This window comes from Homo sapiens, chromosome 12 (genome assembly GCF_000001405.40).
Source record: "Homo sapiens chromosome 12, GRCh38.p14 Primary Assembly".
In the NCBI taxonomy this organism is placed as follows: domain Eukaryota; kingdom Metazoa; phylum Chordata; class Mammalia; order Primates; family Hominidae; genus Homo; species Homo sapiens.
In genome coordinates this window covers 10614932-10642139 of record NC_000012.12, presented here as the reverse complement: position 1 = coordinate 10642139, position 27208 = coordinate 10614932, and the positions used below count along the sequence as shown (strand labels likewise).

The window sequence follows — 27208 nt, the reverse complement described above, 5'->3', positions numbered from 1 at the left end:
AGAGGTAGCATAACTGGCTGAGGGTACTTATTGATTGGCATGCCCGTTTTCCAGTTGATAAACTTCCTACTGCTCTCTGCAGTTCTTTATTACCCTTAGGAGACATGCACGTTTCCTGCTCACTAAACTAGGAAGGCAAGGAATGGCAAGGTCAGGTGACATGCTTCCGGATGCTGAATGAATCACCCACCAAACCAGAACTAGAACTTCCAATCTCTCACTCTGTTATTACAGCACTAAGTCAGGGCTGACTCCACTTCCCTTAATTCCTGGACTGCTCAGCTCTGAACCATGCTGACCCACTCCCTAGGGAGGGGAAACTGCCCTTGGATCCTGGCTGTACAGAATGAGGCAGGAGGTTATGTGTTCCCAGAAGTGTCTTTTTCCTCTCGCCAGGAGTTTGTTATTGTTTACCTGGAATTACATTCTACATATAGAAATTTTATAGTGACACACTGTATGGCACAGCACTGAGGTAAACAGGAGCTGAGTTAGCTTTCTGATGGTGAAACCTCATGTCCACATCTCTCTGCCTGGGCCTGGGACTCATTTATCAGAGAATGAGAAAGTGTGTGTATGTATATATGTGCCCCTACAGCCTGTTGTAGCCTGTCTTCCTTCAGTCCTCCTCAGCTTGGGCCCTCCTCTCTGCCAGAGGGCAGTGTGTTAGACAGGCTGGAAGAGTGGCCAGAAAACAAAACAGATCTCCTCACTTATGGGGGGAGACTTCCAAGAGAGTTTTAGAGAACCCAAAATCTTTCTTAGAAGGAAAAACCCAGCAGGCTGAATACCAAAGAAGAGGACTGATCCTTGGAAATGCAAGGTCACTGACAACAGTAGGAACAAGGTATTTGAAAGCAGCCCCAACCCATCTTCTGGTGCATTAATCAGGTAGGAAAAGGAGACACGGATGGATTAGAGATAATCCTGTGCTGAGTGGGGGTGGCGTTGTGAGTTCTCAGCTTTTCCCTCTCACTGATAGCCCTTATTCTGAGCTGGGGAAACTGAGGAGCTGGGAAAATTGTTATTGATTAGGAATCTCAGGAAGAGAACGTAATCAGCAGGAGAATATTTAATTTAAGATATGCTATTTCTGGGCTTTTCTTTGAAACTGGTAGATGAAGGATTATGGAATTGGGTACATACAAAATAGCAAGATAATTATAATAAAAATAAACTGTTTTGAATTTGTATAATACCTCAAAGGAAATAAAATGTGTTTATCTGCGAAACCATATTTAAAATCTGATGCTGTTTGTAAGCATCTGTGAGCACTGCATTTCTTACCTAGATGTTATGGGGCCTGTCTTGCAATCACTTTTCTCCTCTACAAAGTAAACTTTTGTGAGGTACCAGGATATAGACTAAGCTTCCTCATCTCAACTGTATATCACATATGTTTCAGGAATCTCTGGAGACAGGTAAAAATAGAAGCAAGAAAAACTGATAGCCCTCAGATTTCATAATTTGGTGAGTACCAGTGAGTCAAAAGATCTGTTGAAACAGGCGCAGGACTCCTAGGCACCATGGTGGAAAGGGGTTCCCCTTTGAGAACCCATTTGAAACACTTTCTCTAGTGTTCATTTCGATCCCTGGGTCTCTAGGAAATGGGGGAGGGCAAAGATCAGAAATAAGCACAATTTCTCAATATCTGAGAAGAGTGAGAGGACGAGATAACCTCTCTTAGATAACCTCCTCCCTGCCTCACCCACACTAGGAGATATCACAGGGCATAAGGCAAGTTATCTACACAAATACGCTTCTCTGGATTTAAAAAGAATCACCTCTCCAGTGTGCCCTTCCATGCACTCTGTGTCCTCTCACTGGTTTGTTTCCCTAGAACGGTAGAGCCTGGGGCACTGAGAGAGACAGCATGAAGACCCTAATTCCTAAGCCAGTGCCCTGTCCCCTGCAATTTCTGGCCTCTTTCTGACCCTCATGCTCACAGTGAAAGATGGCTAGTCCTAAGAACCGGGACTTTTTACTCAAAAAGCAGAAGATAGAAATAGGATTGGGGATCAGACCCAGGAAAATGAACAAAGGAAACAACCCAAGATGACATAATCTGGTGAATACTAGGAAAAAAATTCTGATTCTACTTCTATTTTCAGAATATACTTTAAAGACAGACATGCAGATGTCATCTATGTCCCTATGAGGTTCCTATATGGACACCCTTACAGGCAGATTCAATTCATCCATTCTTTCCAAATTGAGTGTATGTTAGTAAAATTTGGTTTCAGCCTTGTGGTTTCCATGATTCTTTTGGATTCCAATGTAATTCCTTCTTGACCTTGTTGGTCTTTCTCATTTGAAAGACAAGTATATATGCACAACAAAGTAGTATAAAGAACATTGGGTTTGTAAGTAAAAGACCTGGGTGTGCAACCTTGCTCTGCCATTTTTTTTTAAAAAGTGGCTAATTTGGTGGGGTACAGTGGCTCACGCCTGTAATCCCAGTACTTTGGGAGGCCAAGTCAGGTGGATAACCTGAGGTCAGGAGTTCGAGACCAGCCTGGCCAACATGATAAAACCCATCTCTACTAAAAATACAAAAATTAGCTGGGTGTGGTGGCATGCACCTGTAATCCCAGCTATTTGGGAGGCTGAGGCAGGAGAATTGCTGGAACCTGGGAGACGGAGGTTGCAGTGAGCTGAGATCACGCCATTGCACTCCAGCCTGGGCCCACAACAGCGAGACTCCATCAGAAAAAAAAAAAAAGTGGCCAATTTATAACTTAATCACTAATTCATAACTTAATCCCTCAGTTTCTGCCTTGCCTTCTTTGTATGAAAGTGCCTAGCACAATACCTGGCACACTGTAGTTGCTAAACACAGGTTTATTAGATCTGAAAACCGGAAGCTTGTTTCATAGGATGTTGGTAACAAGTAATTCTCAGATTCTCTAGATCTGAGCATTGTTCTCTATCTCACTTCCAAATTAATATATTCAGCCCATTAAACATGTTTTTTGTTTGTTTTGGTTTTGTTTTTTGTTTTTGTTTTTTTTCCAGATAGCTCAAGGGTAAGAATGAAACGCTAACTATACAAGAAGGCAGACTGTTTCAGGCTAGGGGCTGCTACCTCCATATATTTTACCCTCCTCACTTTTAGTCTTTGAGTCCTCTGCCCCATAGCCCAAAGCCATTAATAACTTCCTTGATCCATGTGGCAGCCACCTGGGAGGGTGGATCACTTGTCTATCTAAAAAGAACATGGCTGGAAGATCCACATGTGTTGATAAGCAAGCAGTAAGGTTGAAGGTGAGGCTGGCACAACAGATTTAACTGTACCTTACTGGAACAGGGCCAGATGTTATACTGAGTTCAATCATGGAATTTTTCATCACACATAAGCAGGCAGAGTGCAGGAAATCTGATTTTAGAAGTCTTATATCTAGGTATATTTTGGTAAGAAAAGTTTACTCTGGAAAGTCATGGGTAAATTGCAGATTGTGTCCGGGAGACTGTATTGTGCTAACTGAAAAGAAATGCCACTTATTAAGAGTTGTGTTATGGTTGCAAATAGAATATAGTGTGAATTAAAATAGATGCCTAAATGCAGTGTGACACTATGCTTGTATTGTATGTGTAAAAGTTTAGAATTAATATTACTATTTAGTTCAATTTCGTTATAGTTATATTCATGAGCTTTTATGGTCTTCAGACTATAGTCTTGTAAAGATTTAGCATGGACTTTACTCCTCATTTCACTTTCATTCTCCTCCCTTTTGTATCTCCTTCATTGCACTGTTTCTTCTCAGGATTCTCAATGAAAGAGGGGAGTTAAACCTTTAACATGCTAAGAGAAAGTCTGAAGCAACTGATAAGAGAAATTAAGGAATGATAACTACAAGTGAGGCAATATTATGGTTCTAACTAGAACCCTGCCTGAAGAGATTTGGCTCTGTAGATATAGGATTATGTAAACTAGAGGCAAAGTATATACAAACATATTTTACAACTATCAAACATATTTATCAGAATGAAATATATTACAATTTCACTAGACCCTTGATTCCAATGCCATGGATTTCATTATTCATAACATTAAATAGAGAACTGTGGATAATGCTTTACAGTTCAGCTAAGAGAAGAAGCAGTAGCCTACATATATTTTTTGACATAGTGGGAAAAGTATTTAGAGATAATGAAAGGGAGTGGAGTATTGGTCAGATTGAACAGGAATCTTGGCCAGAAGTGTCCTTCTAGTAGTCAGGTGGGCCAGAGTTGAACCCATCGAAGAGTCATCCTAGAGGTTTTTGGCATTAAGGCATGCCTTTTCTCAGCTTGACAGAGTGGACAGGCAAAGCCATGTGGTTTCTGAGTATGAATTTCAAGCTAAAAAGTGATCTAGAGAGGAATATTGCTGTTACAAGTAAATATAAGCATCCTCTGATGTATGAGCTTTGGTGGCCTCTGTGTGGTGAGGTTTCCCACATTAGCTTTCATGGATATGTGGGTATGCCCAGTGTGTATGCCTTAAAAATCCTAGACTCGGCCAGGCGCAGTGGCTCATGCCTGTAATCCCAGCACTTTGGGAGGCCAAGGCAGGTGGATCACGAGGTCAGGAGATCGAGACCATCCTGGCTAACACAGTGAAACCCCCTCTCTACTAAAAATACAGAAAATTAGCCGGGCGTGCGTGGTGGTGGGTGCCTGTAGTCCCAGCTACTTGGGAGGCTGAGGCAGGAGAATGGCATGAACCTGGGAGGTGGAGCTTGCAGTGAGCAGAGATCACGCCACTGCACTCCAGCCTGGGCGACAGAGTGAGACCCCGTCTCAAAAAAAAAAAAAAAAAAATCCTAGACTCATCTGGTACACTCCATATGCCTCTACCTAAATAAACTGTAACCATTAGAAAGGGTTTATTGTATACACATATGGAAAGCAATTTCATTGGGTGGACCTCATCATTCTATACATTTATCTCCTTGCTCTAGCATCCAATTTCACTGGGCTGCAAGATATCAATAAGCCTTGCCTCTTTAAACTACTTATGTACAAATAAAAGTGATGGTGAGAACCTGGCTCAGGAAATGCAGTAGCAGGCCATATTGCATCCAAAGGTGAGTGCTCTGTAATAGGTGTGATAGTTAGTGTAAGGATATAAGCATGAGTTTGAGTTATCAGGGATTTGTGTGTTTGGCCAGGTGCCTATAGTTGAGTATGGATGGCCCTCCGTGAGCAGTTCACTGTGCCCATGTGGGGGTACACGTACACATGGCTTTAAACGACTCCCTTCAGTATGTATTAGTGGGTGTGTAGTTTGTTTTCTGGGCCGAGCTCATGAGTCTGAGCTAGCTGCTGACTGACCCTTTTTTCCACCTGTGCTGTGGTAAGAGAGAGTGTGCTGAGAACCTCCTCCTCAGAAAGCCAAACTGGTTAAACTGGCTGCTCCCTGAATGAAAACAATTACTTCTGATAATCCACTAAAAAGGAGGCAAAGGAAAGGAAAATAAGAATGATAATAGCAGTGATCACTTTTCTAATAGCCTTCCTGAATTCACCGTGCTGATCCAACGTTTTATTTTTCAGAACTTCTCCTTTGTGCCACTCTCTTAAGGTCTGTTTTTTGAAAGTTTCATCACTAGTGCTAGTCCTTCCATGTGGCCTCATGAATTGTGGAAGCTTTCTCAGCCACATTTCTCCTTGCCATTTTGGTTTACACACTGGATACAGTGGACTTTGCTATCTAACTATTCATCAACTTCTTAGATCCCATTCTAAGAATAAGAATAAGGATAAGAAGTTCCCTCTTCTGTGCCAATTTTCCGCCCGCTGGCTACTTGGCTGTTTACCTGAGCTTCTGTCAACCAACTGCACAGTTTTGTTTCTCTTGAGTCGTAAGGGAATTGTTTAACTATTAAACCCATATACAAGTTCATGGTGCTCCAGGAAGAGTGGAACACAAGTAAGGCAGAATCTGGGAGGCTTCTTTACATAGGTCTTTCAGGCACTGAGAGATTCTGCCTCAGTAAGTAACACTGTGGTTATTAGTATCAGTATTAAAAACAATGCATAATGTAATGATAGAGGACAGCATAATATGGCTAATGTAACACCTGTACAACATAGTAGCATATTATATAAGCTATACTTCTGATTTTTGTTTTATGTTTTTATCAAGTCACTACAAAACTGGATCACATATTTAGACTTATTTAGCAGAAAATCATATTTTCTTTCAAGTTAATCAGAATTAAAGAAGTAGGCTTTGTTGACTATAGAACCATGGGAGTGTCTTGTCAAGCAAAGGCAAAATATAAATTTAGGAGAGGTATGGGACAGTGGTAAACATGAGTTCTCTTTGGAAAGAAAGAACCAAGTTTCTAGGGCTGTTATTTGAAATATGTACTGATTATATTATATAGACTTAACAGTGATACACATAAAGAATCCCTTGCCAGACAAACAAGAAACTAATAACTAGAGTCTACTTGGAGGAGACTGGAGGAGAGTTAAGAACTGGATAAATGGAGAAGAATGGGGGGGAGAAATATTTTTATGCTATACAATTTTACACTACTATTTTTTGAATCATATGAATGTATTTTCTTTTTATTTAAAAGAGAAAGAGAAGGTGGCTTGGTACTGATACTTCCTTTATATCCTTGTAGCAATGAGTGTCCGTGTCTATATCTGATATGAGCAGAGGAAGCACCTTGAAGCTCTGAGGGATGAGGAATTAAATAGTTTTTATTGATAAATGCTGTCTGTTCACTGCTTGTGAGGGTGTGGATATTTCAGAGAAACAAAGCAAATGTGTAACTCATATCCTTCGACATCTGTCAATTTTTTATTTGTTATCTGAATTAACTGTGTGTAAAAATGAAATTAAATGTTTTCTTTAGAGCTAGAAATGGTAGCTCATGCCTGTAATTCCAGAGACTCAGGGGATTGAGGCAGGAGGATTAATTGAGCCCAAGAGTTTGAGATTTAAATGAGCCATGCATGATCACACCACTGCACTCAAGCCTGGCTACAGAGCAAGATCCCAACTTCAAAAAATGTTTTGCTTAAAAAATATGATGCACAGCTAAAAAAAATATATTAGACATGCTTAATACTGTAGGGGAGGTAGATCATGCCCACATAACCCATGGATCACAGTTCAGATGGATGTTTTGAATCTGTACTTGATCATGGGAGCAGAAGTCTCGGGTGGGAGGGGAGACTTTAAAATAATTTCAGTAACAGTTGAATGAAAGGACAAGAGCAGATCAGAGCTCTTTGCTGTATAATAGAGAAAAGAGAAACGCTGAGAGGAAGAGAAGGTTGGGAGGGTTCTTCCAACCTGAATATCAGCTAGGTAGATAGAGATAAACGGATGACTCAGAGAGGTAGCCATTTACTTAACTAGTGATCTGTAGAGGCGGTTTAAAATTCTGTGTGTACTTCATTTATTTTTTTTCATTCATTTTATTTTTTTCAAAAACCACTCAATCCTTAGGAATTACTCACAGCTGTGCTGTGTGCATTCTCTGTGGGCCTAGCAGGGAAGGGGACAGCCCTGTGGCAATGGGCATGACACGGATGCTCCTGGAATGCAGTCTCAGTGACAAGTTGTGTGGTAAGTACGGATTCCACAGATGTCTATCCTCTGATTTTAGAATTATGAAGGCTAAGGTCTCGGTAGATTCTAGAAGGAGGATGATTTGATTTCCAGTAGAAATGAAGACAGTGGTGATAAAAGGATGGGGACTAGAGGCCATTGTCTTTTTGGGGAGAGGGTAAGTGCTAATCAGTGATCCAGATGCTGCATCTTCAATCTTGGTAAGAAACTGCCAGAAGCAACGTCATGCACATTTGATGGGCTAAGAAACAGAGTCACTGGGGTTTCTGGTTAGAGAGTTGCTCCCAGCAGTGTTTCTGTTGAATGGAAGTAGAGGAGATGGTAGAAGAGATGACCTTTTCATGTATGATGAGCTGAGAGCTGGCGGGTAGGGGAAATTGCATGAACACCAGGTTAGGCTTCTTCATTCTCTTCTCTTCCTGTGTGATCGCCTACCCAGTCATCCAGGAGAAGCAGTATGAAGTGATTATCGTCCCAACTTTGTTGGTTACTATCTTCCTCATCCTTCTTGGGGTCATCCTGTGGCTTTTTATCAGAGAACAAAGAACTCAACAGCAGCGTTCTGGACCTCAAGGTAAAGCTCAAACTTTGGGGCTGGGCAGGGGCTTAAAGAAGATGGAGATTAGGAAAAAGTATGGTCTAAGTTTCAATGAGCCCATGTCTAGAAGTCTAGGTACCTGCAATGAGAGAGGCATGGGTTCCCTCCCATGGAGTTGAGAGGGGGATGATCTCTTTTCTAGGAATTCCCGAGTTGGAATTCAACACGTGCTTACTGACTGAAAAAAGAGTGTGCAAGAAAAACCTCATATAACCTGTTTCTATTCCTGTTGGACTATCAAAACTTTGACTATATGAGTGCCTAAGGACCTAGGAGAAAGACCTAAGGGGGTAAAGTCCAAGGCTTTATGAACATCCTAGGAGGATGACATATCACCCTATGATACGTTCCATTCCTAATCTTTGCCTCCAGGATATATGATGGAAAGGAGGGGCCTTTATATTATAACAGTCTTTGAAGTGCTAAGTAGATGATAACAGTCTGTTCTGGAGTTCCACTGAGCATATAATAAAAGGGAATCAATTCACAGATGAAACTCAGGGTAAAAAGAAGGAAAAAGAAAACTCTCATAATGATATGAAACTCTATAGTGGCTAATCCTTAGTTTTTCTTTAAATTTTATCCCAATAGTCTTATACTTCACTTTTATAGAAAACTTCTCAAACAAGTTGTCTAAACTCACTCCTACTACTTCTACTCATCACATTCTCTTTTGAACACACTAAAATAAGGTTTTCATCTCTACCACTTCGCCAAAACAAGTCTTTCCAAGGTCATCAATGACAGCTGCATTGAAAAGTCCAATGATCAATTCTTAGTCTTCGTCTTACTTGATCTGTCAAAAGCATTTGAAACAATTTTAAACTTTCTCTTTCTTGAAATACTGAAAAAACTAAAGCCACTTCCTAAATGCTATAATTTTTAGTCTTATGGATTCAAATACATTTTCTATTCCAATGATAGTCCCTTGAACTCAATTCTCATATTAAACCACCTACTGCACAGTTTCAATGGAATACAAATCTCATATGTAATATGACCAAAACAAAGGTCCTGAAATTCTCTCATAAATGTCCTCCGCAAATAGTCTTGCCTATCTTAGTAAATGGCAAGTCCTGTCTTCTGTGTTTTCAGTCTCAAACCTTGAAGATATCAGTCTCAAACCTTGAAACACAGTTTGAGACTGTGTTTTCAGTCTCAAACCTTGAAGATAACTCCTTTCTTTCTCTCACAGTCTGTATCTAATCCATAAGCAAACACTGTTACCCTATTTTCAAAATAAACCCAAGTTACTCTCACATCTCACTGATCACTGCAACACACTCTTAACATTCCCTGCTTCTGCCCCTACTCCTTTATAGAAATGCCAGAATGAGTCTTTTAATACAGTCAGTCCTGTTAGTTATCTGCTTGAAATCTCTCTTCCACACACACACATGCAGTAGCCTCCCACCTTGCTCAGAATGAAAAATGACAAAATTTTTTCCATGGCCTTATGTGATCTGGGCCTCCCTGGCCTTGTCTCCTACTACTCTCCAATGATCCCACTTGGCTCCAGCTACACTGGCTTCCTGGCTATTTCTCAACTATTGCAGCTATGCTCCCTGCTTAATGCTTTTGCAATTTTTGCTTTCTTTGCCTACAATACTCTCCCTGACACCAGCATGGTTTGCTCCCTAGTTGCTTCCAGGCCTTTCTCAAATGTTATCTCATCAGAAAGGCCTTTCTTGACCTTCATATATAACACAGGTGACTGATTCACTGATGCTTCTTCTCCCCACCACCTTTTTTTGTTTTTTTTTTAAAGAGATGGAGTCTCGCTATGTTGCTTAGGCTGAATGTTAATTCAGCCCAGGATCTCCTGGGCTCAGGAGATCCTCCTGCTTTGGCCTCCCCAATAGCTGGGATTATAGGCTCATGGCATCACACTCAGCTTTTTCTCCATCTTTTATTTTCCTCCACAACATTAATTGCTTGATATATTATTACCTGCTTCCTCTCCCCTACCAGTAGAAAGTAATCTTCAGGTGAATCTGGACTTTTCCTGTTCCCAGCACTTAGAACAGTACCTGGCATGTAATAGGTGATATTTGTTGAATAAATGAATAAATGTAGATTTAATAAGAAGGATGAACCTCTCTTTTTTGCTGGCCAAGGGAAGGAGAGAGTACCAGAAGACTTTTTTGACCAAGACTCAAGGAAATATGAAATAACTTGACTTTTGGGGTAACTCAAAGGAGGAAGAATAACCATAGCTTAAAGCTGATTAATTATCCATACCTTTCCTCCAACGTTGAAAGCCATTTGTCTGATTTAAATGACAGTTCTCACTGGCAGTTACCTCCACCTTTAGGCATCTGTGGTTTGGATACCTATTCAGTAACTTCCCTAATTGTCTCCATACCACACTCATGGGAAGTACTCAATTGTAACCCAGAGGAAGGAAGGCAGAAAGGAAGTGTCATGACCGATTTCCTGGGGTCCTTCTTGAGTTGTCCTAAGAACTAATGGGGATTATTATAAAGGTTCTACAAACTTGACATTGATGCTGGTTTATAGAGAAGCATCAGAAGACAACTCCCCATTGGCCAAAGAGAAAACTGCTGAAGGAACCTCCTTGCCAATTTGTTTCAGGGTCTGCTTTCCGGGATCCCCAGGGCGGGGAAAAACTGGTTGACATCATCTCTCTGTTCTAGGCATTGCCCCTGTTCCTCCACCTAGGGACCTAAGCTGGGAAGCAGGACATGGAGGAAATGTGGCTTTGCCACTTAAGGAGACATCCGTGGAAAACTTTCTGGGAGCTACCACACCTGCCCTGGCTAAGCTGCAGGTGCCGCGGGAGCAACTCTCTGAAGTTCTGGAGCAGATTTGCAGTGGTAGCTGTGGGCCCATCTTTCGAGCCAATATGAACACTGGGGACCCTTCTAAGCCCAAGAGTGTTATTCTCAAGGCTTTAAAAGGTAAAACAAGAAGTGTTTGACTCCCCCTTCCCCTAACAGTAAATATTAACAGGCTTTGCGAACATTGAGATGTTAACTAACAGATAGTTGTGATCATAACTGTGTACAGAAGAAGGTAATAGAGTGGAAACTTGAGGCAGAAATGTTTTTCTTGGTGTCTTTTTTTTTAATTACACAAATTGTTTATTTGTGAATCCTTACCCAATCTCCAAATAATAACTAAAATGACTACTACAAATAAGCATAATGTTATGATGAGTAAGATGTTAGCTGTGGGTTTTTACACAGTCTTTATTGTGTTGAGGTACATTCCTTCTGTACTTTGTGTAGTGTTTTTATCATGAAAGGATATTGGATTTTATCAAATGCCTTTTCTGCATTGATTGAAATGATCATATGATGTTTATCCTTTATTCTGTTAATGCGGTATGTCACAGAATTGATTTGCATATGTTAAAACATCTTTGCATCCTAGATTCCCTAGCTCTTCTTTGCATCCTAGGTTCCCTAGCTCATCTTTGCCTATTGAGGCTGTTAAAACAGATTTTTTCACAATGGATGTTACTTGTACTAGGATTCTGAGGTTGTTTCCTCATTTTACTTTATTCTTTGATACCCCTTCCTGATATTATATTTCTTTTTTCTTTTTTTTTTTTTTTGAGACAGAGTGTTGCTCTTGTCACCAGGCTAGAGTGCAATGGTGCCATCTGGGCTCCCTGCAACCTCCGCCTCCCAGGTTTAAGTGATTCTCCTGCCTCAGCCTCCCAAGTAGCTGGGATTACAGCCGTGTGCCACTATGGCCAGCTAATTTTTGTATTATTAGTAGAAATGGGGTTTCACCATATTGGCCAGGCCAGTCTCGAACTCCTGACCTCAGGTGATCCACCAGCCTCAACCTCCCAAAGTGCTGGGATTACAGGTGTGAGCCATCATGCCCAGCTTACATTATATTTCTCTCTCTCTCTCTCTCTCTCTCTCTCTCTCTCTCTCTCTCTCTCTCTCTCTCTCTCTCCTCTTCATGATATGGGCCAGTAATGGTGGATACATAGAACAAGGATAAGACAAGCAAGGATATTAATCCAAAGGACTAGACAGTGATAACTTTTTAATGCAAACAGACTATCTCTCTATTTAGGCAGATGAAAGCCTATCCAGTTCTAATAATTATGATTCTGTGTTACCTTTGATAAAAGATCAGTGACATTAAGCATCATCTTCATCTAATTAGTCCCCTTTGTGTTTATTTTTGCCTTCATTCACTCCCATGTGGGGCCTTGAGAATTAACATCTTAAGTTGCCTCCTGCTCCCTGCCTCCCACTCATCGAGGATGCTCTGACTGCTCACTGCCTGGATCTTTCGTCCTCTACAGAACCAGCTGGGCTCCATGAGGTACAAGATTTCTTAGGGCGAATCCAATTCCATCAATACCTGGGGAAACACAAAAACCTGGTGCAGCTGGAAGGCTGCTGCACTGAAAAGCTGCCACTCTATATGGTGTTGGAGGATGTGGCCCAGGGGGACCTGCTCAGCTTTCTCTGGACCTGTCGGCGGGTGAGCAGTAGGGCAGAGGTATTAGGAGGTTAAGGCTTGACCTTGTTGACTAGCTTTTTACATGTCAGTTAGTGTGACAAATGACAAAATGCAGAGACACTATAATAGCATGACAGAATAAGGGAGTATGACCATATAATAGAACTTTTTGTAATTATAGAAATATTCTATAACTGCTCCATCCAGTATGATAAGCCACTAATCACAGATGGCTTCTAGACACTTGAAGTGTGGCTGATGTGATGGAGAAACTAAATTTTAAATTTTATTTAATTTTAAGTAATATAAGTTTAAATAGCCACAGGTGGCTAATGAGCAGAGAGTGGACAGTACAAGTTTAGAGCATGGACTTTAGGCTTCACCTCCTACTAGTTATGTGACTGTGAGCAAGTCACCTTTCTGATCCTGAGTTTTCTGAATCTGTAAAATGGGAGTAATAATTATTACAAAAAATACAAGAAATTATGTATGTGAAAACATGGCCATGGTTGGTACAGAGTAAGCACTCAAAATGGTAGCTGTTATAAAGATAATTATATAACAATTATCTTTATATTGTTTATATATAACAATTATCTTTATATGAGTATTTTTGGTAATGATTATAATTTTGTTGCAGTTATTAAGTGTGTTTTCCATTCTGTAACATCACTATAATATGGTGGGCAAACTCAGGGAGAAATTTAGCTTGTAAAGCTTTTGTAGCTCAAACTCACGTTTTTTAAAATTAAAGCATTCAGAAATTTTTAGCCTCAAATGGATGTCCTTTTCCTTAAAATTTCCCTTGTTCTATATTCCTCTTTCAGAAGTGCTACCTGTTTCCCTAGTTTCTCACTTGCTAGTGAGCAAGTTCAATATTCTTTGAGCCTCCTTCATATGCTGATTATTGTACAACTGAATGTGTATGAGAAAGGGACCCTGTTATTGTCTTCCATCCTGTATTGTCAATAGGACGATTGCAAGTATTTAGGCATTTTAAACTTTTTAAAGAGGTCACTCATCTAAAACTTGTTTTGTCCTCTAACTGCACTAGCTTCTTTCCATTTTTAAAAAATACCACGCATCTCTATTTCAGATTATCTTTATATGTTTTTCTTGTTCCACCAAACTTCTCTCTTCTCTTCTTTTCATAGTTAATGTCCACTCATCCTTCAGATCTCATCAATTTCCCTGTCCCTGCAACTCAATCAACTCTCTTCTGCCCACCATCATATGCTCTCTTAGCACTTTGTACATTTCCTTTATGGCACTTACAGATATGTAACCATTGATTTATGTATGATTATTTGATTCTGATTCACATGTGCCTGTCACCCAATAAGCTCCAGAAGGCAGCAGCCATGCTATTTTACTCATGCTTGTATTCCAAGTTCCTAACATGGAATAAGGGACATTTCAGGCATTCAATAAAGATGCATTCAGTTTATGTGCTAAATTAATCATGAACACATGTGTGCTCACATGTGCATACACACACAAGCACACACACAGAGCCCTAGAAAAATTGCTGCTTTATTCAGTGGATAGTCTTATTTATACTTGTCTTACCTGCTATTCATCTATGTCTGTCATTGTTTTTCCAGTCCAATGGATCATTTTATGTCTCTGCCTATCTGAAAATCTCCCACAGCCTCACTTTGAACACTAGTCCTTATATTTTTCAAAGCTTTGATAACTGCATTTCAGAGTATCTCTGCCCAACTTTATTTCTTTTCCAAATCTGTGAGTGCTATTTTGATATAATGGCTTTTTTTCCCTGTCTCTTTAGGATGTGATGACTATGGATGGTCTTCTCTATGATCTCACAGAAAAACAAGTATATCACATCGGAAAGCAGGTCCTTTTGGCGCTGGTAAGATGAGGCAACATGACAACTGATGGTGTGACGTTTCCTTGTTAGCCTTGTTTTTGATGCCATATTTCTCATATTAATATTCTCAAGTGGTGTGTATGTTTTAAAGAAAATTAGATAGAAGTTAGGGGGCAGAAACTCAAGCATGGATAAATTGTTTTTAGTCCCTTCCTTAGGGATTTATCTAGATAATTTACCACACTATTGGTAATTTCAGGGAGAAAGTAGTCAACTTAGGGTTTATACAAGGAACAGGAAGGATTTTTCAGATTTTTCAGGGCCAAGAGGTATACACCCATTTACTTGATAATTTTACATCCCCATTTGTACTAATAATAGAATTAAAAGAGACAGATAGGGAAGCAAGTAGGGAGAAGATATGGAAAGAGAAACTGAATGGGTGAAAGGCGACAGAACCAGAAGGAAGTATGCAATTTTATACCTGAGAAACAAGAAAACTAGTTCAGAACATGTTTGGTTGGAGACTTGCTTTGATACTGAATGTGACAGGGAGTACATATAATTATAAAAGATTAAGGAACAAGTGGAAAAGGATGAATGAGAAGAGCACAGTTGGATAATTCCTTTATTTTAAAACAACTTAAATATTTGTTTATTTATTTATTTATTTTTTGAGATGGAGTCTTGCTCAGTTGCCCAGGCTGGAGTGCAGTGGCACGATCTCGGCTCACTGGAAGCTCCGCCTCCCAGGTTCACGCCATTCTCCTGCCTTAGCCTCCCGAGTAGCTGGGACCACAGGCGCCCACCACCACGCCCGGCTAATTTTTTTGTATTTTTAGTAGAGACGGGGTTTCACTGTGTTAGCCAGGATGGTCTCGATCTCCCGACCTCGTGATCCGCGCGCCTCGGCCTCCCAAAGTGCTGGGATTACAGGCATGAGCCACCGTGCCCGGCCTAAAACAACTTAAATAACGAGATAAGAGAAAGAACTCAGGGTTTAAGATAAAAAATTTACCTTTACCAGAATTACCCAGGAAGTTTATATGTCTATTTCTATGAAATTATTTAAATGGTTGTGTTTAAAATTAACATTTGCTATGGAAAATCGGGGTTCTGTGAAGCTACTGTTTTAAGTATTTGATATATCTTGCTACTTTGAGGTGTGAAATATAGGGATGTAAGTGGAATCAGGAAAAGGTTAGAAAAAAAGGATTAAGGTGGGTAAAGAGTAATAGTTATGGTTGAAGCTCCCATGGGACAAGGGAGAGTACACATCATATACGTGAATATTGTCTATGGTGTTTGAATGGCCTCGTTGATATGTTCCCTTGATAAAGAGTGTCAGGATACAGCCTACCCTGTATTCAGAACCGCAATTGCAGAGGCGCCGTCCAGGGATGAATTGGTCAAATTGGTGCATTCATCAGGACCCTATGCTACCTGTTACAAGGCAATATCATGCTATTTTTTTCTTACTTTTAACAAGCTCAAAGTCAGTTACATTCTTTAATTCTTATCATGGCACTATAATTTCTTATTTTAAAGCTTCACCAGGCACAGAAAACTGCTAGTTTTCTTTGTCATCAGTGATTGGAAATTATCACCTTTACCTTCTAATTTTCTATACCATCCTTTTTTAGTAATCACAGCCCTCAATATCTAGATCTTCAGTCATGTATAGTTTTGCAACTTTCTTCTTATGCCTTGAATAGGTTGATGCCATTGGAAATTACTCCAAAAATCAATTATCATAGGGTGCCATGGCTCTCCGATGCTCTGTTGGCTGTACTAGAATTTGATACATCTTAAAAATGTCGGTTACCAGGTCTTTCTTCCTACATTTTGGTTTATTAAATCTGGGGTGAAAATCTTATGTTTAAAAAGCTCTCAGGCAATTCCAATATGCAGACTGACTTGAAAATTTTTAGTAGAGTTTATATAGTACATCCTATGAATTATAATACCTGGTTCTGGTCACTACTGCTTAATAACTCTGTGGCCTTTTGTAATCATTTAGATTTATCTAAAAGAAAATTTCTGAATTCAACCCATGCAGTTATTTTAGGGGAAAAAGTGAGATATGTATATACATTTTTCATTATGATACTCAATTTTGGTACGTATTACATTGTTTTGAGGACTACTGCTAGAAACTTGGAATCAGGCCGGGTGCAGTGGCTCATGCCTGTAATCCCAGCACTTTGGGAGGCCGAGGAGGGCAGATCACAAGGTCAGGAAATCGAGACCATCCTGGCTAACATGGTGAAACCCCGTCTCTACTAAAAATACAAAAAATTAGCCAGGCGTGGTGGCGGGTGCCTGTAGTCCCAGCTACTTGGGAGGCTGAGGCAGAAGAATGGCATGAACCCAGGAGGCGGAGCTTGCAGTGAGCTGAGATCCCGCCACTGCACTCCAGCCTGGGTGACAGAGCGAGACTGTCTCAAACAAACAAACAAACAAACAAACAAACAAAAAAAGAAAGAAACTTGGAATCTACTCCCTTTTCCAGTGTCTAGCTGGGTCCTTTCTCACGGGAAACGAAAATCAGGCAGGGGTCAGTGTTTGAAACAGAGGTGATTATATTTTCAAAATCCAGTATTAATGTCATTTGAATTATTTGCTCAATTTGGTAATCCTAAACACAATGCAGAAATGTGCAGTTCATTAGCATGCTTTGGAAGTGACATATCATTATTAGTGAGACTTGTTCAGAGTAGAAAATGTCCTTGTGTTTTTGAAGATTCCTAGGACTGCCTCTCCTTGTCTGTGACCCAAGCTGTGATCTCAGACAGCTGATCATATTTGATTTTATCTTGACAGGAATTCCTGCAGGAGAAGCATTTGTTCCATGGGGATGTGGCAGCCAGGAATATTCTGATGCAAAGTGATCTCACTGCTAAGCTCTGTGGATTAGGCCTGGCTTATGAAGTTTACACCCGAGGGGCCATCTCCTCTACTCAAACCATACCTCTCAAGTGGCTTGCCCCAGAACGGCTTCTCCTGAGACCTGCTAGCATCAGAGCAGATGTGTACGGTTTATTCCTGGACTCTGAGTTTACTTTCTTCATGACTTGGGTGTTGTCCCTGAATATGATTTGATCTGTTGCCAATTCTGTATACGAATATAATCTCTACTTAGAAATCAGACATACTCTCAAGCAGAAATGTTATGTGACAGAGTTCATGTTTGTCATCTGTCTGCAATCCTTTTTGGTACTTTTTCAACTTTTTCTTTTCTTTTCTTCTTTTCTTTTCTAAGACAGGATCTCACTGTGTTGCCCAGGCTGAAGTGAAGTGGCATGATCACAGCTCACTGCAGCCTCCACCACCCAGGCTCAAGCGATCCTCCCACCTCAGCCTCCCTAGAAGCTAGGACTACAGGCATGCACCACCCTGCTTGGCTATTTTTTTTTTCTTTTTTTTTTAGAGACAAGGTTCACCATGTTGCCTAGGCTGGTCTAGAAGTTCTGGGCTCAAGTGATCCTCTCACCTTCGCCTCCCAAAGTGCTGGGATTACAGGCATGAGCAACCATGCCCAGCCTCAAGTATTTCTTCTGTATTAGATTAGCAGCCTTAATTAGAAAAAAAAAAAGTGAAAAGATTATTCACATCAATATCTGAGGACTTAATCTAGTAAAGTCTGTTTTATCTGAAGGAATAACCAAAAGGCCAGTTAACCCATACATTGTTAAAATAAAAAGAAATATACATACCTTCAATAACTTATTTTAACATAAAACTTATAAATGTACATTATCTGTTTTTTTCAAGGAGGGGCAAGGCTTCTTTTTATAAGGATGAGTTTCCCAAATGAAGTTACACGTTGTTCTTTTAGTGTAAATAGTATCTTTTAGTGTAAATAAAAATGATTTATTTTTGAGTTCCAGTTCAGAATGATTTTAGGTAGCATGAGAAACCTGAAAATAATTGTGAAATTGTTTGACTGCAGACTTTTGATGTTACTTTTCCCAATTTTCTAAGTTGTCTCCCTCACACAATTTGACAAGACTTTCTTTTTCAGCAGTTTATTTTTATAAATCATTTTCAAAACATTCAACTTAGTTTTCAAAACATTCAACTTCCTTCAAACTTTGTTTGAAGGAAGATAACACTTTTTTGCATTTAATCCATATATAAAATACCTAATTGATTATATAACTACATATAATTGCAATTACATGTAAAATTGGCATTAACAGGATCATAAAGAATCACAATTGACTTTTGGTAGCCATATAACTCAATTGCTTGGAGAAGTGCATTGATGTAATGTAGAATATCCTGCTAGCCATGAATGCCATGAGCAGCAGAGGAAATTTAGAATATCAGTTAATATGATGAGTCAGTTATGAGATTTCCATTGTTGCTTCACTGACATCTGCTTTTCAATAGACATCTGGGGGTAATAAACTTAACTGTAAAATATTAATCATTCAATAATGATATTACAGAATAGTGAACTATACACCTCTCAAGTCATATTGCTTAGGCAAATACCTATTTCAACTATATATAAAGCTTGCCCTGTTAATATTTTTCCTAGGTTTGGGCAATTAAATCTACTGAGAAAATAGTGACTAAATGATAAAACTTGGTTGAATTTGTGCTAAGAATAAAGGCAAGAATTTCAGCAGAGAGGGATGGAAAGGAAGAAAGAGACACAGAGGGAATATTTTTAGGTAAATGTGCTTTTGTGATTGAGGTAAATGTGTTTGTGTGGTTACATGCACACACATTTGCAAATAATAACAAACATCTATTAATTTAAAACACAGGAGAGTAAATAGAGATATAATTTCAATCTTAAAAGAGATTCGAACCTATGGAAATTGAGCAGAAATGCTTTCTAATGGCTGTTATTTTGTTTTTCAGACACTCATCCTTGATTCTCCTTCATTGCCTTTTTCATGGGGCTCTTATTAAAGGCTTCTGACACTTAAATGAGCTCTCTTTAGAAAAACAGAAATAGAAATTAAATAGATGGCTTTGTTTCTTTTACAGCTGGTCTTTTGGGATCCTGCTCTATGAGATGGTGACTCTAGGTAAGGATGAGCCCCAAAATAGTGTGTACCTGTATGCAAATATGCAAGCGTGTTTATTTAAGGGGTGGATGATGTATGCTTTCTGAAAGGGTTTCAGTACAGTGCTGAAGCTTGAAATGGACTGACATGTTATCTAAGCCTGATTCCCGTGATAGTCATATAAAGTGATTATTTTCTCCTTGCCCCAGTCCCTTCTTCCCTGTCCTTTTTTACCTTTCTTTTGCTCTCTTCCTCTTTATTTTCCCCAAAATATTACCAAATCCAAGGGATGTTTTCAAATCCCAAGGATAATTCCCAGAGTGGTCTTGCATAAACATAAAAATGTTTACTCCAGACTTATTAATTCATTTGACTGAGAAACTGCACACTTTCCCATGTATGGAGAGTGGAGGACAGGTCTTATGTCTTACTTTGTCTTATTTGATCACTTTCTTAGAGATTCAAGATTCTCCTAACTTATCAGGTTTTTTTCTCCAAAACACCTTTCCCCCCAATTCACTAAATTATATCCATATTTGATCACCAGGGAGCAACTGAATTGTATGTAGTATTTTTCCTATGGCTATATCTTTTGCAAGCAACCAACCCAAGTGGATGAAGAATAGTGTTAGTTACAGTTCATATTTTAGAGGACCTTAAAGTTCTCATTATTTTCGTAATGACAGGAGCACCACCGTATCCTGAAGTCCCTCCTACCAGCATCCTAGAGCATCTCCAAAGAAGGAAAATCATGAAGAGACCCAGTAGCTGCACACATACCATGTAAGTGGTTTTTAAAGGCCTGCTCCTCTTTCATTCCAAATGTTGTTTAGCCCTCTATCAATCGTGCCCTTTTCAAAGGGCTCAGATGATCCTCACCTGTGTATATGTACCCATGTACAGCTTTTAACCAAACCCATGCAGTAAAATATACCTATCTCATATATTATATATGCATATATATTATATATACATATACATACACACACTCACACATACTCACACACATACACACACATACCCCCACCACACGCTGAGAACTATATCAGGAATCTAATTTTATTATAGTTTAGTTCCATGGGAAGCTTCTAAAATAGGTAACAAGTAAACTAAACCCAATGCAAGTATAGTTGTGTTTAGTCTAAATGTCAGTCTTCTGCCAGCCACAGTTCAGACAGCTGTCATAAAAGCCATTGCACTAGAGTTACTCATTCAGAGTATACCAGTTCTTATTTAGTATTTAACTTTTAAATGACTGTCTCCCTGTTTTTCCAACTCTCAGTGTGATAGAAGCCAACCAGAGGAAGGGGAGATAAGAAGAAATTAGAAAGGCAGAAGGAGGATCCAATATTGTCAGCAGATTGGGACAGTTAGTGAACCAACCTAGAGGCAGGAAATGGAAAAATAAAAAATTACATAGACTGTTATTACCAATGAAGTTCAAAAAGGAACTGCTGTAGAATGTAAGAAAAGGTTAAATTGTGTATACGGAGGCAGCAGAGAATATATTAATGTTTTTATTAGAATTGTTGCTATTTTGTAAGTTTTTTATCATTGAATGGGTAAATTTACAGCACTTGGTTTTCCTTATGATAAATAATTACTGCATCAAGCAGATTAAATTTAAGTATCTTAATTATATATGAGTATACACATACACACACACGCACAGAATATAGTGATGGAGCTAGGTACAATAGAAAAAAATTGATGACAAACATTTCTATGTGTTAAAGGCTGGTCTTAATACTGGGAAAGACACCTAACTGACAAAATACCTGACCTGGTACCACAACCTCTGGTACTTGTAACACAGCCTTGTCATCTGCAATTCTAGCAGCAGCTTCTAGGCACAAGTATTAAAGAACATAACATTTTGATGAGGAGATATCTGAAACATGAAAATCAACCTAAAGTATGCAGCAGTATACATGATTAAAAGCTCCGTCTCATATCAGAGTAAAAATGACATGTGTTCATTTCTACCCAGCCCTGTTACTTTACTGCACAATGCTTACAACGTTACAGCAAACAATATGTAGTGATAAAACTGTCCTGTCATACCCTAGTTTGGAAAATGTTAAGTCATTCCTATTATACAAGAGCACTTGTTGAGAAAGTGCTATTAAGAGACTTGATATAAAAAGATTGAGAAGGAATATCACTCTCTGGGAAGAATATGAGTAACAGGGCAAACAGAAGACAATTAAAGAATTGCAGAGTTGTTTGTTAAAGTTTGTGAGGAGAGGAGACATGCTCCCCATACATTTGCCTTGTCAAGGAAGTCAGTTTCTCTTGTTTCCCTCTCAGGTACAGTATCATGAAGTCCTGCTGGCGCTGGCGTGAGGCTGACCGCCCCTCACCTAGAGAGCTGCGCTTGCGCCTAGAAGCTGCCATTAAAACTGCAGATGACGAGGCTGTGTTACAAGTACCAGAGTTGGTGGTACCTGAACTGTATGCAGCTGTGGCCGGCATCAGAGTGGAGAGCCTCTTCTACAACTATAGCATGCTTTGAAGAGTCTCGGGCAAGAAACATTCATGCATGAGTATATGTTCTTGGAATCAATTCCTCTAAGAACAGAGAATGGTCTTTCCCAGGGACACAAAGGGAGAAATGGGACATGGATTCTTGATCTTCCTTTACACATTTCTCGGGAAATCTGAAATGATGCTGGATGGGACTCTACACATCCTGAGCTAAGACATACTGTCAGTCTCACTTCTGCTGTCCCAGTCCTAGAAATCCTGGGTAGAAGTGGTGGACCTGTGCAAAGGAGGTTTTAGAACTCTGCAGTATTTGTTGGGGCATGGCACAAATAAGCTCATCCCTCCCGTCCGAGGCTAGTTTCCTCTGGAACCACATTTTTATCTAGATGAAAATTTGGAATGAAATGAAGGAATAGAAATCCAATAAAAGAGTTGAAGGGAAAGAAAATTTAAGGTTCTTCTTGCTCAGGATTACAGATATGGACCAACACCTCCTTCAAGAAAAGGTGGTAGGACACAAAGTTCTTCAGTCCTGAGCCCTACATGTGGGGTTGGAGGAGAACTATAACGGAAAAACCTCTGAGTTTCACCTTAGGTATAGATAAAAGAAAGATGGTCCCCTTTTATCTGATTCTGAGACAGGTAAATTCTGTTTGTTACTACGTTTAATTAGAAGGTGGAGGAGTCATTTCATGATTAAGAACATTCAACATGTATTGTTCATTAAGCTAGCTTCCTAGTTCCGATTAGACTAAGGAGACTAAGCCTAGAGAGTCAATGTTAGAACAGTGAAAAGAATTCTGTGTGTGTGTGTGTGTGTGTGCACAATAAATAGGAAATGTAGAAACCAAGCAAGAAGGCTTAGTAGCTCAGTCTTTAACAAGGGCTAGAAAAGAATGTAATCTGATATGGAAGGATAGCAGCTTCTAATTTTCAATCATCTGTTGATATACTGTGAAACTTATTTTATTAAATTAATATTTATTAAATGGAAATATGCTTTTCTGGTTTATAACTACTAAAAATATCATAGGGAGGATAAAAGTAAATAAGTGAAAGTTAATGCCAATAGAAAAATTCAAGAGATAATGTACAATGTCAGAAAAGGGATTCTTTATGTGTAAATGGGGATAATACCTATTTCACAAGGTTGTTCTGAGGATTGATACGTTTTGAGTATGTATTTGTACACTATCTGGCACATATGCGCTCAATAAACGTGTTTCTCCTTTTCTTTTGCCCTTCCTAACCCAGGACCTTTCATATATTTTTCATTTAAAATCTACTGTGACCAAGAAGAGAAACTCAGTCGCTAACACTGCAAGGCAGGACATGCCTAAAGATGATGATATGGCACAAGTAGTGATATTATACATGTGCAATGATGAAGTCATCATTTTTGTACGCTTTTGGATGATGATAGTGGACTCCTACTATTACAAAATATTGAAAACATCATCATGAGGGCAATTCTGTTGAACATGGTAGTCTGCAATTTTAAAAAACACTTTGGGTACCCTGGAAGGGACATCTAAGGCTGCCATAAGAAAAATGACTGGCAGCTAAAAATGTTGTAGAAGTTGGAATCCTGATGGAATCATAATGAGTCAGCTAAAGGAATAATGATTCTTGCCGCTGTAAGAATACCACAATGACTAGTCAGGATTTAAATGGGTAGCAAGTTGCAGTAGGGAGAAGGGCAGAAGAGTGGCTTCACACAAAATTACAAAGTCCTATGGAATCCCATTGTTGCCTCTCAGCTGTTCAGTTAAGTCAAAATTACAAATATTTACTTATTTATCTGATCACTGAAAAATATTGAGTGTTAAGGCTTGCTGTGCCAGACACTTGGCTAGGTGTAGGATAAAAGAAATAGGGAGCTTTTGATTACAGTCTAGAAGGTGAGACACATTATACATTTATTTGTGTGGGTATCTGTTAAGTGCGAAGTGTTAAGTGCTATAAAGAAAAAGCATAGGGTAGTAGAAGGGAGTTTAAAAGGAACACTTCCCTGAACAGAAATGGGCTATAAACTGAGACCTTAGGGATGGGTAAGTAACCCAGGCCGAATAAGAAGAGTCTCCCAGGAGGAGGACATGTGTGCGTGAAAATTCTGAGGCAAGGAACTGCAAGAAAGCATATGGGTTGCAGCACGGTGAGCTAAGGGAAAGTGGAACACAGTGAAATGGAAGGTTGCTTTGTTGTACTGTCATATTTCTTTTAGTAGGAGGGAAAGAAGCAGACAATTGATATTTAAGTTTTTTACCCCCAATTTTATTTGTTTTTCCGGCCCGGAAAACTGGATACAGTAATTTTTACTCTAAGAAAACTGGGTCTTTCTCTCACTTGGCCAGGCTTCTTCCAGAAGGAGGATGATATTTCTGGCATCATTGACCTTTCAGCCAAACTAGGTGTTTCCAAGCTAATGAATGAAAAAAAGAATCAAAATATTTATCATTTAATCGGGTTGACTCTAGATAGATTTTGTTGTATTGTTTTGATTGCCTTCTCTTCCAGTCTTGTTTTTCCAATCTATGCTTTATTGTTAAAAAAAAATTCCAACACTTAGGAACAACGCAAACACCCACCTAGATACAGTGTCTAAGGGAAACTTGGTAACGTCGTTTAAAATAGAATAGTCTGAACCAGTAGTTCTTAAATTATGCTTATGGAGCACACTATGTTTTTTTATGCCAGATTTAGGTATTCTGTTATTAAAATCAAATAATAGTAGTGGGTTTTTTTTTAGCATTTTAAAACAAAAAAAGTCAGTTAATTAAGATTTCTTAATCTTAACTCTGTTGCAATAATTTTTTTAAATTTTGCTTTAACACTCTTACTGAAATAAATAAGTAGCAAATACAGTGGAAGACTGGAAGATATCCTATTACCCTTAATTTAGCATACTGTGTTTACCCGTTTTGGGGAAAAGAGTTAGAGATTATGCTATGTGTTTGAAGCATATAATATTGTCATTTGCTGGAAAAAAATTTTAGATTGAACAATCGAATTAAATATATCATGTCATGGTAATCTAGAAGTAGCTCCAAGTTCTCGCCATATATGAACATATGTGATAACGAATGGTGTGGAAAGTTTGGTGTTTCTGCATGATCATGATTCTCTTACTTAAAAAGTTAATACCACTAAGTGGTAAAAAGACAGATAAGGCTAACGTCCACAGGGAAGTCTATTATGGAAAAGAGAAGAGCAAGGTGGGTGGATGAATTAAAAATTAAAATACTACCTCATTCTGAGTATTTTTTAAAATTTAAACCACATTATGCACTTATTCTTGACTTACTACTCTGATCCATTTATTAATAACTGAATGAGATAGCCCTGACATCTTTTCTTCTGTAAATACAAAATCAAATGAATCAGACGTTATTCATAAATTAAAAACATGAGACTATAATACCTAGTGCTTATCACAATAAACATGGAACATGTTTCTGAAAATTGGAAGTCAGAATGATTTGATCATTAAGCCCTAATTTCAGATGGAAATAAAACGTTTATTTCTTACCTACTTCACTTTGTGCTTTGAAATTTACCGCTGTGTTAGCAAAGGTGGAAACAGTATTTTGGCTTCACTTAAGCAGCTCAAATATTTATTTTCATAAGTAAACTGTGTTGATATCAGTAAGTACGTCCTAATTTGGAGCCTACAACAAGCAATTTGAAAATGTTCACAATTTTTTTTTTGCTATTTCTAGCCCAACTAAAAGTGTATGAAAAGATTCTAACTGTGCTGACCAACACAGTAGCTTCTAGCCACATGTGTTTATTTAAATGTTAATCTAAATTAATCACAATTAAGAATTCAGTTCGAAGTCACAGTAGTCACATTTCAAGGGCTCAGCAGCCATACAGAAGAACATTTCCACATCACTGTTGTGTACCATCCAAGAATACAACACAACGCAAATGCTTTATCACTTTGTAATTCTTGCTTCAATACAAAAGGTTCAAATTTTGGCTTAAAATATAGAGAGTTAAGTAAATATAGTTTCATATTTTATCTTACAAACAGGTAGGATTATAGTCTTGAACCCCTATGTCATTTTTGGAGATCAAGACAGTAACTGGCCCACTTAACAAAGATGTTAATACTTTGTGCATTCTGTAACCTCTATTTATATAGTTACACATTCTGGTATCCATAGTTCTATTTAGGTAAACATGAAGATGAACATTGGCACATGTGCCAAAAACCTGAAGGAGAGACATTAGGGAATCTAAGATATTGAATGAGGCTTTCCATATAATTCAACAAAATGGATTACAGCTGATATTTCCAGAGATACTACGGAATAGAGTGTTCAAATTTCTGTGAATTATTCTTGTGGTAAGTGTGGTGACCAACCCATCTCAGTTTGCCTGGGTGTTTCCAGGTATGGAAAGTCCCATTTCCCAGGAAACTCCACAGTCCTGGTCAAACTGGAACGGCTAGTCACCCTAGTGGTAAAACATGGTGCTTCCTGTTTCTTACGTACTTTCCAAAATGGTGGCCCATTGTAGGGACTGATTCATTTTTCTATATTAATAGTTATATAACTACTAATATGGACTCAAGGAAACGTGGCCCAATTTGCCTTTTTAGTCATTCTACTTGAACCTTATGCTCTAGCTATACCGAATTTCTTAGTGTTCCCCAAACATGAATTTTCACACCACTGTCTTTGCTCGGGTCATTTTCTGCCTGGAATGCTTTTTCATCCCACTGAACATACACAGAACTTACTTCTCAAGGTCCAATTCAAACACTTCCGTTGACAAGCCTTTTCCAATACTCTTTTTTCAAATTTCCCTACTCTGCAATAGAATGCTCTTGCTTCCTCTGCTGTACTACCGGCATGTTTTACACACTTTTTTTTTTTTAGACGAAGTTTCGCTCTTGTCACCCAGGCTGGAGTGCAACTGCGCGATCTCCGCCTCTCGGGTTCAAGCGATTCTCCTGCCTCAGCCTCCTGAGTAGCTAGGATTACAGGCACGTGCCACCAAACCTGGCTAATTTTTGTATTTTTAGTAAAGACAAGGTTTTGCCATGTTGGCCAGGCTGGTCTTGAACTCCTGACCTCGGGTGATTTGCCCCCTTTGGCCTCCCAAAGTGCTGGGATTACAGGCATGAGCCACTGCGCCCGGCCACATATAGGCTTTCTTTTCTTTTTCTTTTTTTTTTTTTTTTTTTTTTGAGACAGAGTTTCGCTCTTGTTGCCCAGGCTGGAATGCAGTGG

General features: G+C 39.0%; 1 protein-coding gene across 6 annotated transcripts in view; it reads left to right on the top strand.

The window, feature by feature from the left end:
- The window catches only part of STYK1 (serine/threonine/tyrosine kinase 1), a 55130-nt gene extending 31913 nt beyond the window's left edge, over positions 1-23217 (top strand). For 3 of the 6 annotated variants that reach the window (NM_018423.3, XM_011520738.3, XM_011520737.2), the window contains exons 2-11: positions 4944-5069; positions 7454-7573; positions 8016-8150; positions 10832-11095; positions 12466-12647; positions 14416-14499; positions 17281-17489; positions 19462-19502; positions 20168-20264; positions 21792-23217. In NM_018423.3, coding sequence (NP_060893.2) covers positions 7522-7573; positions 8016-8150; positions 10832-11095; positions 12466-12647; positions 14416-14499; positions 17281-17489; positions 19462-19502; positions 20168-20264; positions 21792-21996 — 1269 coding nt within the window. In that variant the 5' untranslated portion in view covers positions 4944-5069; positions 7454-7521 and the 3' untranslated portion in view covers positions 21997-23217. Of the gene's footprint in view, positions 1-1405; positions 1471-4943; positions 5070-7453; positions 7574-8015; positions 8151-10831; positions 11096-12465; positions 12648-14415; positions 14500-17280; positions 17490-19461; positions 19503-20167; positions 20265-21791 lie in introns of all 6 variants that reach the window. The other 3 variants (XM_011520736.2, XM_047429099.1, XM_005253417.3) reach the window with 3 other exon arrangements.
- The last annotated feature ends 3991 nt before the right edge of the window (positions 23218-27208 follow it).